Consider the following 20,255-nt stretch of genomic DNA (forward strand, 5'->3'; position numbering starts at 1 on the left):
AGTCTGAGCTCTGCCTTTTGGAAAGCAGGTCACTGTCCTAAGATGAATGCTTCAGAGAAAGCAACCTTTGCTCAACTCAGCTCTAATCCACTCATCTCAAAACTAATCAAATAACACTCCTGTTTCAAAATGTAATAAAAGAACAGGAGGCCAACGAATACACCGAGGCCAGGATCTCCAGTACAGTGAGTTTCTCTTAACTAGTAATCTGATGTGTGCTAAATCTACAGTTCTCCTGGCCGTACTATTCATTTACTCAACCAACATTTTCACACTGCCTGCTACTGCCACTGTGAAATACAGAGCTGTCTGTACAACATCACAGTTCTTTGGATCACCACATAACACATGGCACTCCACTCATTCTGCAAGTCACACAGCTCAGCAGTGCAGCACAGTAGACAAGCCTGGCTCATGTTGGAAGAAGTATCCTGGGGTCCTTAAGGTAGGACTTCAGCTGGCCTGGGCTGCAGCTACCATCCTTCATTCCTACCTGCCTTTACTCCTTACCAGGAGCAGCTGCCGGGGTATGCCGGTCCGTAACTCCACGTCTTCCTTTGCAGTATCAAATACAAGCCCCGAGATGGTATCCAAAAGGAAATCTCCCCATGAACTAGGATATGCACCAAGGGGGAAAAAAAAACCAAAACAGTGAGTGCATACGAAATATACATAAAATACTTATTGCTAGTAAAGCCAAAAGCTACAAATTGGATTATGGCTTCCCTGTCCAGGCATTTTGAGTTCCATTAATTGGACATTACTCAGCATGGAAATCTAAGACCTTCATCAACCACCCTGTTTCCTCCCTCCCCGTTCCAGACACTCACTTGCAAAGTTAAAAGTGGGAAGCTAGGCTTCAATACTGATTTCTCTTAAAAGCTCTCAGAAAATTAACCATAGACTTTCATAAAACAGGAAGTTCAATGGACCAAATTTTTAACAAAAGTGTCTATGAGGGGAGATTTGTAGGAAATTTAAACAGTCATTATAGGATCTAAAACCAAATTTTATGTGCAATAAATACAACAAATTTGGGGTAACAGCAAGATATCTGGATTGTGTAATTATTTGAACAGTTGTATGTTACATTTTCCTTGTCACTTACAAGGGATGCTACTCCTAAAGAAAATATCTACCATCAATAATTCCAAAACAATTATGTCTAGCAGTGGTTTTACCGGGGGATAGAAGCCAGTGACTAAAAATAACATCTAGGGACAAATATCCCTATTCAATTACCTTTGCTTTCTCTGGGGTATCTGGAATTGGCTCATTCCTAAGTGCGTGCCGGTGTAAGAAATGCACTCTGTGGGGATGCTCTCTTTAAACATTTCTTAGCTATTTAAAATTTTCCTGTGTCACCAGCAGATTTCAAATTGCCGGCTAGTAGAAAATGGAAATTCACAGTATGACTTTTACTTCTCACTCAGTAAGCAAAATTAACACTGTTATGCTTCCCTCCCAGAAAAGTTGCAAAGGAGGACAAAAGCCACATGAGAGACACTTTTCCCAAGACATCTACTACCTGGCGGCCTCACTGCTTTGTGACTTAATGTTATATCCAACCCTGCATCTTTAATTGAGTCTCAACCCGGAGGGCACATGCAGATCTCTCAGCACCATACAATATGTGCTTCCTTTGCAGGTTTATGTAGGTGGAAGTCATACAGCAACAGCTCATGGAGGAATTTAGTAGAAGTTAAATAGTGCTCCTCTAAGAGTCAGAATAGATATTGGGACTTCCCACAATTTAGGAATATCTCTTGAAGGGTCCACTTTGGTAAAACAACCAAATCAACAACATACAGCAGACCCCCAAACACTCCAACAATGCTACCTTGACAGGTGTTAGGAAGAGGCCCCAAATATTCACCTTTACATGGTACCTGAAGGAGCATTAGGCTCAAAACACAGGATCATTTCTGGGGAGCAATGGCCCTCAAGTCACATCTTCTCATTCTAGCTCCAGCATCACTGTCCAAGACACAGGTCAAAATCCAGCCTGGACACATTGATCATGGTACCCACCCACAATCCTAAGCAGGCAACTTCTGTAACTTAGGAAGCTCTTCCCAGCCCCAGCTGAAAAGAGAAGAAATGAATAGGACCCAGGGGCAGCCGGCCAGTTCCTCACTCTTGGGATTGGGAAACAGAGAGTGAGTCAGGTCCTTAGCAGAAGCAAAAGCTAACAGGGTCAATGAGATGGAGGTCAGAGTAGCAACTGGTGATGGCCTAATGTTATGAGTAAACAGAAGCTGAAGAAGGAACAGAAGGGAGAAAACACCAGTCACTAGAAAACCAGTTGGTAGCAGCAAGAGAAATGGAAAAGAGAATTACAGAAAGGGAGTACCTGAGAAACATTAACGATGGGACACCCACAGATGCACGGATATTCAAAGGGCCAAACTATGTGGTCCAGAACTGCTCTGAATCCAGAATGGACTTCTAATTCCAGCCTCTCTGTAGCCTGGAGTTTCTAGGACTCACTCCCTCAAGTGACCCTGCACTTCTTGAGCTGGCTTTGGTGACTTTCTGTCCCTTAAAATGCAAGGAACCTACCTAGCCAAAGTGATGAGGGCATTTTTCAAAATGGAAGCCTAATACAAACTTGGGCCTTCTACTTGTGGGAAAGATAGCACTAAACTAGGGCCAGGCCTCAGCTAATTCCTCCAGTAAGTCTTTTAAATGTAGAGGTGAAATTCACACTGAAAAGTCTGATGAGGAAGCAGAGGTATGCTTACTAACTTGTTTTGCAAGTTCTGGCCCTGAAGGTAGGAGGTGACTTGCCGTCCCTTGGACCTAGAATGTCCTCTCCTACTCTGATCTGCTGACCCACCCCTACTTACTCATCCTTTAAGACTCACTCAGCATTGGTGTCATTTCTGAAGGCTTCTCTAATGCCCCTACTTAGCTAAATGCATTCCTCTATGCTCCAAGAGTCTCCTCTGCAAACCTACAATAGAATTTATCACACCATCTCTTCTCCTACAACCAATTCCAAAGTATAAGCTCTCTCAAAACCCCTTCGATAAAATCCTTGAATTCCCAGCAACAAACACAATGTCTAGTACATATTTGTTTAACACATTAACTCATGACTAGTATTTTTTTTTTTTTCCTGAGACAGGGTCTCGCTCTGTCGCCCAGGCTGGAGTGCAGTGGCGTGATTTGGATCACTGCAACCTCCACCTCCTGTGTTCAAGTGATTCTCCTGCCTCAACCTCCAGAGTAGCTGGGATTACAGGTGCACACCACCACACCTGGCTAATATTTGTATTTTTTTTAGTAGAGATGGGGTTTCACCATGTTGGCCAGGCTGGTCTCAAACTTCTGACCTCAAGCGATCCACCCGCCTCAGCCTCCCAAAGTGCTGGGATTACAGGAGTGAGCCACCACGCCTGGCCATGATTAGTATTTTTAAATATGATTTGGACCAGCAAGGTTGCTGCTTTTTGGATATAACTCACACAGCACTGCCACCCAGTGAGGAGGTACTAGCTGAAATGAACATGATTTTAATTGGAACTGCTGTCAGCACATGCACTTTAGTTCCTGCTGTTCCAGACTGCCTGTCCTACTTTAACTTCATGGACTGTAAAAAGAGAAACCCTCAAAGAGACCAAGAGATTTCAATGGGTACAGAGTTTCTGTTGGAATAAACATGTTTTAGAAACGAATAGTGGTGATGGCTGCACAAGAGTGTGAATGTAATTAATGTCAAACTATGCTTTAAAATGGTTTAAAATGGTATATTTTATGTTCTATATATTTTATCATATTAAAAAAAAAGAGAGAGAGTATGAGCCCAGCCTGGCATCACTAACACACTGATGTACCCACAGCTAGTCTCTTTCTTTCCAAACTATGTGACTCTCTATTTGGGCAATGCCCCACATCCTACAGAGTCAGGTTCATGATGTCCCCAGAAGCAAGTCCAGAGGGACCAGTCACATACATGGGACATCAAAGGAATGTGGAAGTCAGTAAAGGACATAAACCCTGGGGTTTGCATAGGAGGTAGGGGCCAACTCCCTCATATCCCTCCTGAATGTGGCTGCTGCAGGCCAGGACTCAGAGCTGTCCTAGCATGTGCAGCTGGGAGGCAGTGTTTACTTGTTCTGGTAGGTGCTGATGGTCACGTGAGTAGAGTGGGCCAGCCCCGCAGGAGTGTCCGCTTGATGAATGGTTCCTCTGGGAAAGTACAACAAATCACCCGGCTAAAGGAAGGAATAGGAAAGGGTAGAGAAGTTAATAAGTATTCCTTCTCAGTCCTCTTCATTTCAGGGAGATAAATATGGGCTTTGAGTCTCAGTTCTCCATTCTAGAAACCACAACCTCAAGGCACAGTCTATATGCTGGGCTCATGTCGTGTGCAGCTAGTCTAGCTTCTCTGTGTCCGTGAGCCTGTCACTGTTAACCATGATCCACGAGAGGCTCTCGGTGCCTGAAGTCACTATCTTTTCATTCTCAAGCTGAGACTAGACTCACCTGAGACTACCCTGCCCTGATGCAGGGATCAAGGAAGGTAACATCCTGTGCCTGGGACGCCTGCTTCCTCCCTCTTGCATGCTTCAGTGGTTAAGAGTAGGAGCTTGAATTTAGAGTCACACAGACACAGCCACTTACTGGCTGATGATCTGGCAATTTACCTGCCCAAAGCCTCAGTTTCTTTATCTGTAAAATGAAGTTTAATAGCCCCAAACCTTACAGGATTATTTTGAGGATTAGAGATGCTGCTTCCAAGCTCTTAGGGCAATGATGGGCATGTGATTGGATTATATGATTTTATCCGCCAGTCCCCCACTTCCTGATAATTTTTGAGTACTTCTAGGCGCAGGGTCTGTATCTTACCATCTTGTCTTTCCCAGAGCCTACCCTAGCAAAGCACCTAGCACTCAACACAGGCTCAATGAATGTTGGGATGAATTGAAAAACTATACAATCCCTATTTCAACTGAAAAATAAGATGTAATCAAAAATTCATCATTTTCTTGGGCAGCTGAGCCTCCTCTACCCTATTCCAAGTGGGTGGACCAAAACATTCTCCCCAAATTACTCCTGCCCTGAGCTGCCTCCTTCCCAATCCCACTCAGGCCAAAATATTCCATGTAGCAGCTACCTATGGAGAAAAGAGGGAATCTTGAGGGCAGCTCATCTTCTCTCTGCAACTACAAGAGGTAGTCTAGTGCAATGGTTAAGACCATGAGCCCTGGAGAAAGAGCTCAAGAAATGCCAGCTTAAAAAAAAAAATTAAGATTCTCCTCAAAGCAAGAGGAATATATCATGATATATATTCATAAGAGCTATCTTAGTTGCAAATTTTCCCTGAATGACAACAAACTGACAGTACTTCAAGTAAATGCTTTACTGATAATTATAACTATCATTTACTGAGTGTCTCTGTGCCAGCCTGAGTGAGACTCTCAGGTATACAGTCACATGCCACTTAACAATGGGGTTATGTTCTGAGAAAAGTGGTATGTCACTGCGCAAACATCAGTGTACTTACAAATCTAGGTAGTATAGTGTACTACCTACATTACATGGTACAGCCTACTGCTCCTAGGCTCCAAACCTATACAGCATGTGACTGTACTGAATACTGTAGAAAACTGTAACACAATGGTGTTTGTGTACTTAAATATATCTAAACGTGGACAAGAAAAAACACAGTATAAACAATAATAAATGGTACATCTACATAGGACTGGAAGTTACTCTGGGTGAGCCCGTCAGTGATGGTAAGTGAATGGGAGAGCCTAGGGCCCTACTGTACACTTTTATATGACTAGCAAAGAAGTAGGGTTGTTTAGACCAGCATCACCACAAACACGTGAGTAATGCGTAGCACTACAACATTTTACAATGGCTACAATAACACTAGGTGATAGGAATTTTTCAGCTTCATTATAACCTTATGGGACAACTGTCACATATACAGTCTGTTGTTGACTAAAATGTCAACTGGCACATGACTATATTTCATTCATTTCATACACATTTGCCCCACCCTCCTGGCTGGAAAACGTAAGTAAACATTCTCCCCTACAGCCTCCTGAAGGAATGCAGTACAGCAACCCTAGAGAGATCCCTTTTAGTCTCCTGACCTTCAGAAGCATAAAATAATGAATTTATGTTGTTTTAAACCATTGAGTTTGTGGTAATTTGACAAGAAGCAACAGAAAAACTCAGACAGACATACAGATATTGCCTCTAAAGATTTTTTTTTTTTTTTGAGACGGAGTTTCGTTCTTGTTGCCCAGGCTGGAATGCAATGGCGTGATCTCGGTCACTGCAACCTCCATCTCCTGGGTTCAAGTGATTCTCCTGCCTCAGCCTCCTGAGTAGCTGGGATTACAGGCATGAGCCACCACGCCCAGCTAATTTTGTATTTTCAGTAGAGATGGGGTTTCTACATGTTGGTCAGGCTGGTCTCGAACTCCTGACCTCAGGTGATCCACCTGCCTCGGCCTCCCAAAGTGCTGGGATTACAGGCGTGAGCCACCGCACCCCGCCTAAAGATTTATTGTAAAGGAGGCAGCAAAATAATATTTTTCAATCCTCATAGCCTGCAAGGTAAATATCATGATCTCTGTTTTAATAAAGAGGAAACTGAGACTTGGATTAATAACTTGACCAAGGACATACAGCTAATAAGTGACAGCAGCTGAATTCAAACTCAGATCTGTCAGATCCCTGAGCCACAGAGTGGTGTTTCCATCACAGGCGTGATCTCATCCTGGGAGTCTGGGTCTGCAGATGAACTGCACGGGCTGCCACTAGCATAGGGGAAAGAAGCGGATAAGGGCTCCAAGACCCCCACTGTCACCCTCCCATGCCCATCCCTCAACCACAGCCACTAAGCCTTTCTATTTCATCATTGGGCATTGACACAAGGTTTCGCCTGAAGAGGCCCACTGGTTAAAAGCTCAAATGTGGGCCAGGCGCAGTGGCTCACGCCTGTAATCCCAGCACTTTGGGAGGCCGAGGCAGGTGGATCACGAGGTCAGGAGTTTGAGACCAGCCTGGCCAACATGGTGAAACCGTCTCTACTAAAGATACAAAAAATTAGCCGGGCATGGTGGTAGGCAGCTGTAATCCCAGCTACTCGGGAGGCTGAGGCAGGAGAATTGCTTGAACCCGGGAGGCGGAGGTTTCAGCTAGCTGAAATCACGCCATTGCACTCCAGCCTGGGTGACAGGGTGAGACTCTGTCTTAAAAAAAAAAAAAAAAAAATGACATGCACATACACATACACACTTGAACAATACTGTACAACATGGTCTTTCTCTGTCCAGGAGACTCAGTGCATCTCCTAATGGACTCTGTGTTGACTGTTTAATGGGCATGGGCATGGCAACAATACAAAGAATCCACACCCTTTACACTTAAAGGCCACTATGAAGCCTGACCTTCTCGGGCAGAGCAAGTAGCCAGGTCACCGGCCTGAGTAACTCAGCCCTGACTTCCGAGAGTACAGATGGCTTAGTCTTTAAAGATAACCAACCGTGAATCTATGTAAACATGATGCAACAAAGCTGGCAACCTCTGTGAAGAGCCAAATGGAAAGACAGTACGTATTTTTGGTTTGCGGGCCATGTGATCTCTGTGGCAACTAGTCCGCTCTGCTGGTGTAGTATGAACACAGGACATTAAGGAATGGGTGTGGCTGTGTTCCAATAAACTACTTACAAAAACAGGCAGCAGGCCAGATTTTCTGGTCCATGGGCCACAGTTTGATGACCACTGACTAAAAGCATAAAAAAAACCAGTAAGGTTACCTTTACTGTTGTTTATTGATTTAAGTCTCCTGTAATATAGGCACCCATCCTAAACAGCAAGATTGTTTCCCTTAGTTACTGGGAGGTAGGTAAGGATTTTGAAATCAAGAAACACACAAGGCATTGAGTAAGAAACAGGCTAATTATAACTTCGAGACACAAGAAAAACAATAAGTATATGCAAATGTGTCAGGTTGGTAGAATCTTTGGAATGGTTTAAAATAACTATTGTTTTATTGCTAAAGGAAATTAAGTTACATGTTTTAAGAAAGAGTATAAAGTTGAATTATGGAACTACTCCTATCCATGTAACGTTCTTTTCCTCAACAACCTCTTCTGCTGGGGATTGGCTATGTTCCCATCGATGTTAACTGCTCAAAGACAGATTTTCTCAGCAGCAAGATGCCAAGGAACCTGCACATGATTAAGCCACCTGAATCCCCAGAGAAGGAATCCTCAAGAACTTTCCTGATTACTACTGTTCTGGTAACTATGCAGGGGGCACAGAGATAGCCTGACATATAACCAGGATGAAAATGAGTCACACTGGAATTTTAGCAACAACAACAAAAAAAACTAAGGGATCCCTGGCTATGTTCTGCCTAAGCAACTTCCAGCCCTGTGCTGACCATCGTCTTGGATGTGGAGAAGCTGCCCAAGGCCAGAGCTTCCATTTTTCCTCTAGAGGAGTCAGTGGTTCACTGAATTCTCTTTCTTCCTGTTGGACTTGAACTGTACATGAAAACAGGTTATTTGGGAAATGAACTTAATACTTCCTTAACCCACTTCTCCAAGTGCAAACCACCAAGACTCCTTCAGAAATTACATGTGCTGGCTGACAGCAATGAGAAGCACCCTGCCCTGAAACCCAGGGATATATTCCCACGGGGACCATCACACGAACTCTAAACCTTGAGCCTGAACTTGTCTTAGCAATAGGGGAAACCACAATGGCTCTAACAATGAGGTGCCCACAACGGTTATCACATACCTTCAGCATAAACTCATGCACCGGCCTGCCGATCCTTTCCTCGGCCTCCACGCTGTACTCTCGTGCCAGGGGCACAGTGGGGTGGTAGAGGCGCCAGTGTTTCTCTCCCTCCAGCTGCAGGATGAAAACCTAGAGACCCACAAGGCCCAGGAGCATCAGAGAGCTTCCTGACAACTCACACACAAAGTGCTTCCGGACTATTAGCCCTCTAAGGGGCTAATAGACAAATATATAGGTGAACCTTGAACAACACAGGTTTTTTTTTTTTTTTTTTTTTTTTAGTTGTTATAGACAGTCTCATTCTCCTGGCCAGGCTGGAGTGCAGTGTCACAATTACAGCTCACTGCAGCCTCTCAAACTCCTGGGCTCCAATGATCCTCTTGCCCTAGCTTCCTGTGTAGTTGGGAAGCTGGCATGCACCACAGCTCCCAGCTAATTTATCTTCTTTGTAGAGATGGGGTGTCACTTTGTTGCCCAGAATGGTCTTGAACTCCTGGCTTTAAGCACTCCTCTCACCTGGGCCTCCAAAAGTGATTACAGGCGTGAGCCACCACGCCTGGCCTAACAGCATGGGGATGAACCGTGCAGGTCCGCTTATATGCTGATTTTTTTCAATAAATTATATTGGAAAATTTGGAGGAGATTTGCAACAATTTGAAAAACATGAAAAATATCAAAAGAATTAAGAATGTCATAAATGCATCAAATATAAAAACATATGTAGATACTAGTCTATCATCTACTACCATAAAATATTCACAAATCTATTACAGAAGGTTAAAATTTATCAAAACTTACCTATACAAATACTTCTAGACCACCATTTGCAGTCAAGAAATGTAAACAAACTTAAAGATGCAATATGGAATAGCTGAATAAAATTAACTTTAGTACATATTGTACTACTGTAATAATTTTGTGCTACCTCCTGTTGCTATTGCCACGAGCTCAAGTGTGATGCTAATTATCTCCACATGAGCAGTTCCTCTCTCCAGTGAATTGTGTATCACAGTAAAAAATGATCTCTCAACAGTTCTTGTGTATTTTTCATCATGTTTAGTGCAACAACTTAAGCCGTGAATAACACCATGGGACCCATATGATGTGCCACTACTGCTACTGCAAGTACTCCCGAGAAACAGAAAAAAGTCGTAACGTTACAAGAAAAAGTTGAATTGCTTGATGTGTATTGTAGATTAAGGCCTGCAGCTGTGGCTACCCACCATTTCAGATGGACGATTCAGCTTGTAAACAAATGATGTAAACTTACGGTACTGATAAACACAATATTAAAAATACTTTTCCCTTTCTTATAATTTTAATAACTTTTCTCCAGGTTCCTTTACTGAAGAATAAAGTATATAACACATATAACATACAAAATAAGTGTTAACCAATTTATGCTATCAGTAAGATATCTAGGCAATGGAAGGCTACTAGTAGTTAAGTTTTAGGGAAGTCAAAAGTTACAAGCAGATTTTTGACTGCATGAGGTGTTGGCACCACTAACCCCCACACTGCACAAGGGTCAAGTTTCCGATAAAAAATAAAAATGAAAGATGAGAAATGCATGTCATTCCACAGTTAAACAAAAGTTGCCACTACTGGGTTTTATTTTTAAAAACGGAATCGTGAATCCTGACACTGGATATTCATTCTTTTCACTTTCTTAGAGCCTCGCTGAGTTCTTTATATCCCACTATCTCATTCCTTTAAATCTTCTATCAGACAGCTAAAAGCCCATAATCTCTGATGGAAAAGCCAAGCTTCAGATATTACTGAATGTCTAAATCCTGAATGTTGAAAGGGCCTGGGGAGATAGGAAAACTTCGAGTTTTTTATTCTTTATTCAGTCAAAGATATTCTATTAAAAATATTAAAAATAACATTTTGTGAAAATGTATTGATGTCAAATTGCTATCAAAGGAGAAAAAGGGGACTTTTTACCAATAACTCTGTGTTTACACCTTATATTAGGACAAAAATAAAACTATGGAATACATAAGCCAAAGAGTTAAATTTTTTTGGAAGCCATATCAGAGTGAAATCAACACTTGTCAAGATGCCAATGCTTAAGTGAAACCATGACCCTCATTCAAGCTGCCCCAAGATTTTCACAAATGGAAAATATATACATATTTTTGGCAGCTACTGAAAAAGAACAAAATGAAAGCACATGAAGGATTATTTGTGACCTCATCTTATTAAAGACCATACTTTGTGAAATTAAAGGAAAAGCCAAGCACACCTTTCTGTAGATAAATTCAATAAATACTTGTTTCAGACGAATGTGTGGCTCTTTAAATTAGTAAGGTTGGAAACAAGCTGTTCCTTTGAGACAGAGCAGGAAACCAGTTTAGTGGGATTTACTTTGGCCCAACATTTTGATGAAATCAATATCTCAGAAACTGCACAGAAAGAGCGAATACAGACCTAAGAGCCTTAGAGAATAATGTGAACTCACCCTGACAACTCTACTAAACCAGGCTCTCAACAACTCATTCTTCCCAACATGGGGCAATTTTCTCCATCTCTTACCTCGACATCATCATAATGGGGCGGCAGGCCCTGAGATCCTGCGGGAGTTATGTACACATTCGAGCCAACCAAGGAGCCAAAGTAACATTCCAGCTTCTCCTGGATCCTCCAAAGCTCATCCTTTACAAAAAAGGAAAAAAGAAAGGGTCGGCGTGGGGGAGTGAAAAATGTATTAGAAATAAGAATAAGAGCATGTTCTTGTTCACTTAGGAAGTCTTTACTGCACAACTATTATACACCAGATACTGGGAATTATGCAATGATACAGCCAATACCCATGGTCTCAAAAATCTTCCATTCCAGTGCAGAAACACCATGTAACAGACGTGAACAGATAAAGGGATGACTGACAAGGTGGGCAATTGGGAGTCCGGAAGGCTTTTAAGCAGGGAAGGACACAATCCAATTTACATTTTTGAAAGCTCACCCTGGTTATTGTGTGAAGAATGCACTGTAGAAAAGAGTGGAAGTCAGAGAGACTAGTGAGGAAGCTTCTCAGGCAGCAGCTCAAGCGAGAAGTGACTGGGGTGGTAAGAAAGGCAAGGAGGGAGGTAGAAGAGTGGGATGCACTCTAGAAGCAGCACAGACAGGACTTGCCGACAGACTCAATGTAAAGGAGCGGAGTTAAAAAAAATACTCTTGGGTTTTTGACTTGGGCAATCAGTTCCCCTTTCCACGTAACGAGATGGGAAAAACTTACTAAAAAACAAGTTTTCAGGACAAAAAAAAGAGTTTTATATTAGGAATGTTAAGTTTGGAATGCTAAGACCCCCCCCCCCCCCCCCACATGGAGATGTCTTTAAGTCGGTCTGAAGTTCTGGCAGAAACTAAGGACTGAAGATTTACACTTGGGAATTGCCTACACAAAATGGATATTTAAAGCAATGGGAACAGAAATGATAACACGGGAAGAAGGTACAGACAGAGAAGAAATAACAGGCTGGGTAATGTTCCTTCTCTCCACTATCAACTCTTCAGAGCAGACATCAGACTTAGGGGCCTAGCGATGGGCCATATATTCCCAGGAGAGAGAAGGAAGTCTGATTTTACCAAGGCTGGTGAGAAGAGAGGAGGGGGGCAATTAGGCCATGTAGATATTAGCACTTCCTATGTGCCAGGCACTGTCTCCAAGTGCTTTACAAATATCAATTATGCAACCCTCACAATAACCCTGCCTCATAAAGAGGGTACTAACATTATCTTCAGTTTACAGATGAGGAAACTGAGGCATGAGACCATGCAACTAGTAAATGATGGAGCCAGGATTCAAATTCAGGCAGCATGGCTCCAAAGTCCATACCTTTCAGAGAATTTAAGAAAAGACAAATCACAAAGGGCACTAAAGAGACTGAAGTTTTAAACATATGAATGTACAGTGCCTGGCACACAGACTGCATGACAACATATTTAAATACTTGCTGAGCAAACCAATGGCCACAGCTTGGGAGTCCCTTCTACCACAGGAGTGAAAAAGAATCCACTGTATTAAAAATATCAAGTGAGAAAGAACTGGGAAGAACTGGGTCAATATGAAAAAAGACTTTTTTAAGACATGGTCTTGCTCTGTCACCCAGGCTGAAGTGCAGTGGTGTGATCACAATCACAGTTCACTGCAGCCTCGACATCCCAGGCTTAAATGATCCTCCCATCTCAACCTCCCAAGTAGCTGGGACTGCAGGTGCATGCTACCATGCCCGGCTAATTTTTTTCTCTTATTTTGTAGAGATGGTGGTCTCACTTTGTTGCCCAGGCTGTTGTCAAACTCTTGGATTCAAGCTATCCTCCTGCTCTGACCTCCCAAAGTGCTGGGATTACAGATGTGAGCCATGGATTTAGCCAAGGACCTCTTTATACAGACCACTGGGCTTCTCTATAGATCTCAGAGTTTCTACTTAACACAGAAAAAATAATTTAATGTCATCTGAATAGCTCCAAAGAGTTAACAGAGCTCCAAAAGGGCCTAATCTATTTCAGGGAAAGGCCAGCAGGACCTGGTTCTGTAATTATTTTTATATAGTAACTGGAACCACTAGAAAACCAGGGCTTCTCTCTCTCTCTTTCTCTCTCTGATGGTATGAGAGGTCTTTCAGGACTGTATAGGTGATTTTATGGTTCCCGACCCAACTATCAGGGTAACTAATGAATATGTCTCTTTTCTTCTTAAAGGTTACTGAAAATGCTATCAATGGCACAATTTTTCTATTTCATCTGGACCTTTAGCCTCTGAATCTGCCAACCGTGGCCTACTAGAAGAGATCTGGAGTCAAACCACCTCGGTTCAAGTTATAATTACAAGCAAGGTGACTTCAGTTGTTTATCTTTAAGATAAAGATATTATCACTCCCACTCAAACACTGTGGCGAACAGCATAAAACAACTTATCACAAATCCTATTTAAATTGCAAAGCAGTATACAAGCGATATTGCTTTACTAACATTGACTCAAGCACAAACAAGGCTCCTGAAACCTGTCTTCTCCTTTACCACAGGATTCGATATCCAGCGAGCCCAAGGAGGACCTAGAACAGTGAAAGGGAGAAGGTGGAAGTCTCTCTCCCGGCTGGCTGTGACCTCCTCTCTCCACTGACCTACCCGTCAGAATCAAAACTCAACGCCATGGCTAAAATAGAAGACCACGTATATGCCTAAAGAAAGGCAAAAGCAAACATATAAAAAGCCCTACTAAATTTCAATACATCTTTCAAAGTATGGTAGGAAAATGCCTTAAATTTGGAGTCAGAAACCCTTATCAGCTTGGAATAGTTATGGAAAGGTCACATCTGTGAACTCCAGTTTTTCCACATACAAAATGGAGTCCACGGCTGGGTGCGGTGGCTCATGCCTGTAATCCCAGCATTTTGGGAGGCCGAGGCAGGTGGATCACAAGATCAGGAGTTCAAGGCCAGCCTGGCCAACATGGTGAAACCCCCATCTCTACTAAAAAAAAAAATACAAAAATTAGCCGGGCATAGTGGCATGCACCTGTAATCCCAGCTACTCAGGAGGTCCAAGGCAGGAGAATTGCTTGAACCCAGGAGGCGGAGGTTGTAGTGAGCCGAGATTGCGTCACTGCACTCCAGCCTGGGTGACAGGGCAAGACTCTGTCTTAAAAAAAAAAAAAAAAAAAAAAAAAGAAGGAAAGAAAAAAAAGAAAATGGAACAAAAGCTGCCCTATTTCAAATGCCTGTTAGAAAGCTCAAAAGTTAAAATATATGAAATTACTTGGTAAACTCTAGCCTGCTAAGCAAAATGCAAATAATTGTGATAATTCCTCTCACCAGGACTTTTAATATATGGATTACTGAAAGCAAGTCCAAACAACTTATTATGGCTCCCTGGTTACCTCCTTACTCGTTTTTAAACTAACTATACTAATAAGCTGTGCACAGTCTGAGACCCAATAAACAAAGGGCTGCATGTTCACTCTAACAGTCTCTCAACCTGGCCAGGGATAAACTCCTTCTAGACTTCCTCTGTTCTGACGTTAATATGCCCATTACTAAAGAAACACACACAATGCCAAACCACCTTATAATATAGCACTTAGAATCCAGACTCTAGTGTAAGACGGTGAGCTCCTATGGCTTATAGGTCTCTCCAGCACGGGTGGTACAAAGAGATTAAAAAAAAAAAAAAAAAAAGGCCCAGCACAGTGGCTCACGCCTGTAATCCCAGCACTTTGGGAAGCTGAGGCGGGTGGATCACCTGAGGGCAGAAGTTCGAGACCAGCCTGGCCAACATGGCGAAACCCTGTCTCTACTAAAAACACAAAAATTAGCCAGGCATGGTGGTATGTGCCTGTAATCCCAGCTACTAGGGGGACTGAGGCAGAAGGATCACTTGAACCCAGGAGGCAGAGGTTGCAGTGAGCCGAGATCGTGCCACTGTACTCCAGCCTGGGCAACAGAGCAAGACTCTGTCTCAAAAAAAAAAAAAAAAGGCACATCCTAGTCTGGCCTGAGGGCTGAATTTGGGCTGAGAAAGCTCATCCTTCCTGCTTTAATAAACTCAGCCAGAGCCTAGTCAACAAGGCAAAAGAAACAGGTTCTTGGACACTGGAATCCCAGACGAGGAATGTGCAGCACTTAAGTGGATGAGCAGAGAAAAGCCCTGCGGGGGATGATTCTAAAGTAGAGAAATGACAGCCACAGTGGATACCACACATATGCCAAATATCATCTCTCTGCTGGTCTATGACCAAAGTACACGTAATCAAATTCACTGAATTCATTTATGTTTAGAGTTCTCAGGTTTCTAAAAACCACTCTTAAAAGTGCTACTTCTAGTCAAGGACTAGCTCAGCGAGAAGCATTTTATTGACGGTGTCCATATTTTCTGAATTCAAATCATAACTTGGTCTGACAAATGATTTGTAAATTCTTTTTGAGTGCCTAGGCCACAAGGTTAGCATTTCAGGGACATTTCAACTTTGTATGATTGCTTGAGATGGAATAGCTGGAATCAGGACTCATCTTGAAAAATCTAAGAGCACTCATACCTCATACAGAGTATGAATAGGTTCAAGATCTTTTAGACAAGAAAGAAAGGGAAGGGCATTCACCAGATGAAGCCCAATGGGATATAACAAGCCACCTCAAGTTAAATCACTGGAAACACTATTGGTAACTGACGACAGAGCCCCAGAAGCCATCAATAAAGCCAGAATCCATTCCTCTCAACATGGAACCTCACAAACCCCTCTCTTTCTCCTCCTATGTTGCCATTTTGATTTAATGAAGGGTCACAGAAGGGGGTTTCTGAATGGGGATAAAAGTTTATCTAAAATTCAGAACAGCCCCTCACCTATTCTGGGCCATCTGTCATGAGATGAGATACAGATCTCAAACCTTGAGGAAAACAAATTAGTTCATACTAAATCTGCATTTTATAAATGTAGAAACCAAGCATAGAGGAGGCAAATTATTTCCCAAATGTCAATCCCTGATATAGAAAAAAATTTAAAAATTTGCCAATCCTCTGCATTTGCAAAGCAAAGATTTCCTCCACCTATGAAGCCTTACCAGGAGCAGTTCCAGGTACCTCAATGTCACCCATTCGGGTGTTATTAAGGGTGAAGTCTCTTTATTGGACTTGCATCTAGCATGTGATCTGGTCATGGCTCTGAAGCCTCCATTTAGATGCAGGCAGTAAAGGGAAGCAACTTCGGGAAAAAATGATCACCTTGATGCTGTCATGCCTTAAATTACAGTGATGTGACAAACCAAATAGAAATGTCTATCATATAGAAAAACATAAACTGGCTCACAGAACATACTCCTGCAGTTGTAGTGCCACTTTAACAACTTTATAAACTTGCAGTATAATTAGTTTTGCAGCTCAATGATACCCAACAATGTCTACCCTGAGTTGCTGGAGTTTCTAACAGTCCAACCAAACATAACACATAATCTTAATCCTAGTTAGAATGCATTTAGACCAAAGAGGTGCTACCCCTTCTCAAACTGGCAAGAGACTAACCATCATCAAACTACGTATTCACCCTTGAGCTGATATGTGGCCAAATGTTAGTACTTTAAAATGTATGAGGATTCTGCAATGGGGAAACTGGTTACCTTAAATCTCTGAGGTTGGTGAAACTGAATCGTTGCCCTTTTCTGATCAAAATCTTTTCTCAGCTGAAGAAAGTGTGCTTTGCCATCTTTATTTAAAACCTTCTTCTTCCCATTGACACACCGGCAGACATTCACATCTCTTCCATAGTACATCCCCCGGCTGCACAGACTCTTCAGATCTGTTAGCTTGAACAGGGACCCATAGTATGTGGCCAGTGCAGGGTCATCTCTCTGAATGAGAAGGGGCTTCTGCTCCCAGAATTCCTTGAAAAAAGTCTCTGTCTTGATGGGCGAGATTAAACTTTCAAAGAGACTACTGGGACTGTCAAAGTTTAAAGCTGAAGGCCCCCCAGCTGCTTCTAACTTCATCTGCTTACAGGGAGCCGGCCCCTCTTCCTTCCCACTCCCTGTAGGCTTTGCTTTCTTTGGCATCGTTCTGTCTTCAAGACAAAGCAGTAAGGAAATGCAAACCTACCAAAAGAACAAAACACACATGGTTAGGTTTACAAGGAGTGCCAGCATTGGTGTTAGTGGATCGCGCGCACACACAACTGAATGACCATTACACCTTCGTGAGAACTCTTCATAGGTCAAAGCTACTTCCCCCAGGATAGGAGACAGCCTTAAGCCAATGCCATTTCTTCTAAGATATGATTCAAGCTCAACCACCACTCAGATGACATATTCATCTAAAGAAGAACGTGTTTTTCTTTTACACAAGCACTATGTCATGGTATTATTTATTAGGCAGTATAATTATCCCAAATAAACCTATTCAACTGTCTCAGCAGTTCCTACTCACAGGTTTAGCCTGTGGCCACTGACACAGCAAAGTCAAATATCTTGGATTTGGCTCCCATCAGCATCAGGGCCCACATCTAATTAGATGTACTCTGAGTTACAAACATTTGACTAGAGAAAAACTAACAGCCGCCCACTGCCAGGTGCTCCTCACCGCAGCACCACCCCAACTGTTGCGCAGGTCAATCAATGCGCCCTGGACCCGCGGTGTCTCCTGGTGGCTGGAGCAGGCCACTGCCTTCTCCTGTCTCCACTAACCACCTGAACCTGCTCACTTCCAACTCTGAGCTTATTCCTGAAAACGGCCACTTTTATCAGAAACTCCCCTTCGTTTAAAGAAATAAAGCCCCTAAAGGCTGAAAAGTGAAGGCTAAAAGTAGTTATATCTAAAGCCTTGAAAAAACTATAACTTTTTAACTGAAGATTTTAAATAATACCAATATCATTAGCCCCTAACACAGCACTTCTCCAACTTTAATGTGCACACAGATCACCTTAGCATCTCAATAAAATGCAGGATATGATCCACTAGCTCCAAGGTGAAGCCTGAGGTTCTGCATTTCTAACAGGCTCCCAGGTGATGCTTCTGCTGCTGACACTGCTGAGTAGTCGAAGCCACACAGCCAAGCCTTGCAAAGCTCCTTCAGAACTGCCTCCAAACCACAACTATTGATACTTAGAGGGTAGGTTTCCCTCATCTGTTTCCAAGAACTGTAATTCAAATTATTTAAATTTCCTGAGACTGCAAAATTCTATCTTAAAGTCCTTTCCCTCTGGGAAGGGACTCCATCACTTTCAACAGATTCTTAAGGAAGTCCCTATCTCCTGACAAGGTTAAGAACCACTGTACTTATAAAAACCAAAATTTCTGAAAGACTTGTTATTTATAAATGGTATAGTTTCCTACTTTGGTGAGTTATCAGAATTGCAAGAATACTGTTTTCTGTTCTTTTGTCATTATAACTAAGCAGTATTTCAGCTACACTGTAGACTAAGTGGAATTAATGTTCTGGCCTGGGAAGTAAGCATCCTGGAACGATGTGTTGCATACTGTGTGACGTGTTGCAACTTATAAAAGAAACTTTAGATTGAAACCCAGATGTAAACTGAACAAATTAAGAAAGGAAATGTCAAAATATAAAACCCTCTAAACAGCTCCATTCCTTCAAAAGACCAGGTGCTTTTGATAAGGAAACACAGGACATGGTGGAAGACTAACACAAACTGATACTACAGGAGAGGGGTAAAGCTTGAAGCTTAGAAAAAAAAAATAAACTTTAGTGTTTAGGATATGTGGTCAGTAAGACACATTTTCTGAAAATGTTTCCTTTAAGTGAAACAGACCAGCTTGAATTCTCCAGGAAAGAATTAAGGCTTCAGGAAGGCACAGCATTGCTAGTACATGGAACTCTCAAGTGATGGAGAAATACAAAGAGATAGAAAAATGGATTCGGGAAGGGGTACTGCTTATGCAGAAGACGTTCCATAGCAGGCCTGACTGCTATCCTTTGAAAGTGCAGCTTGTGGCCGATGTCTGAGAACTTAAGATTTTGGGAGAGTTTCCACCACCATTAACTGATAGGAGTGGCTCACCATGCCTAAAATGTACAATCATTACAGTTTATACCAACACCTGCTTTCCTCTGGGAGTCTGGAAACGTTGGTATGTGCCAGGCAGGGGTGGCCTAAGTGAAAAGCCCCCAGTAAAAGCCCTGGGCACTGAGTCTCTAACAAGCTTCGCAGGTTGGCAACATTTCACAAGTGTTGACACAACTAGTTGCTGGAGCAACTGAGCACAGCCAGTGTGACCGCTCGAAGACCCTTGGAGCCTTGCACTTGGTATCCCCAGAACTTCACCCATGTGCCTCTTCCCTTTGCTGACTGTGCTTGATATCTTTTCCCTGTAATAAATCAGCCGAGTCCTCCTAGCAAATTGCTGAACTAAAGATGGCCTTGGGGACCACAGCACATTGCTCACGTTTAATTTTTAAAAACTTAGATTGGTTTATTAGGTTTGTATTACTAAAGGCACCCTATAGAGTCATTTTATATTCAGCCACACATCTCTTATCTCTCACAATTGGTCAGTTTAAAATTCATTTAAGGGGAGAGAGCAGGAGGAAGATGCAAACGAAAAGCTTTTCTTTAAGCATAATATATGAATACAGTATAAGCACATTCACCAGAAAGTGTGGCTAATCAAAGAATGCAAAACACTTAAGCCAAAATAAAATCACTTAAAAGAATCTTTCCCATCTACAATCACTAACAAACCCCAATACTGTATAACAAATGCTTTCCTTAGAATATAAATTTCACTACCCATACTGCCAAAAGTTACATCATTTGTTTCTCTGTGTTCATGTTGAAATGATTTGAGGCTCAGTTAATTGGAGCCTAAGCTTAGAGGTTTCTGGGCAAATACATTATTTCTCTGATTCTCACACTACTCATACTGTAAGACAACCATTCCTCTTAACAGCTTTCTAGAGCAGAGGGGAGAATAGATGAAGCATCCTACCACATTAAACATACAAAAGTCTTAAGGTACATATCATAATTTCGGAA

At 42.3% G+C, this 20,255-nt stretch overlaps 1 protein-coding gene across 9 annotated transcripts in view; it reads right to left on the minus strand.

The window, feature by feature from the left end:
- Window positions 1-20,255, minus strand: part of RIOX2 (ribosomal oxygenase 2) — a 30,614-nt gene that overhangs the window by 8,458 nt on the left and 1,901 nt on the right. For 7 of the 9 annotated variants that reach the window (NM_001261829.2, NM_153182.4, NM_032778.6 and 4 more), the window contains exons 2-6: window positions 16,887-17,357; window positions 11,314-11,433; window positions 8,776-8,904; window positions 4,117-4,220; window positions 511-613 (exon numbers count right to left, since the gene is read on the minus strand). In NM_001261829.2, coding sequence (NP_001248758.1) covers window positions 511-613; window positions 4,117-4,220; window positions 8,776-8,904; window positions 11,314-11,433; window positions 16,887-17,318 — 888 coding nt within the window. In that variant the 5' untranslated portion in view covers window positions 17,319-17,357. The other 2 variants (XM_047449087.1, XM_011513244.4) reach the window with 2 other exon arrangements.

Source organism: Homo sapiens, chromosome 3, assembly GCF_000001405.40.
Source record: "Homo sapiens chromosome 3, GRCh38.p14 Primary Assembly".
NCBI classification, from domain to species: domain Eukaryota; kingdom Metazoa; phylum Chordata; class Mammalia; order Primates; family Hominidae; genus Homo; species Homo sapiens.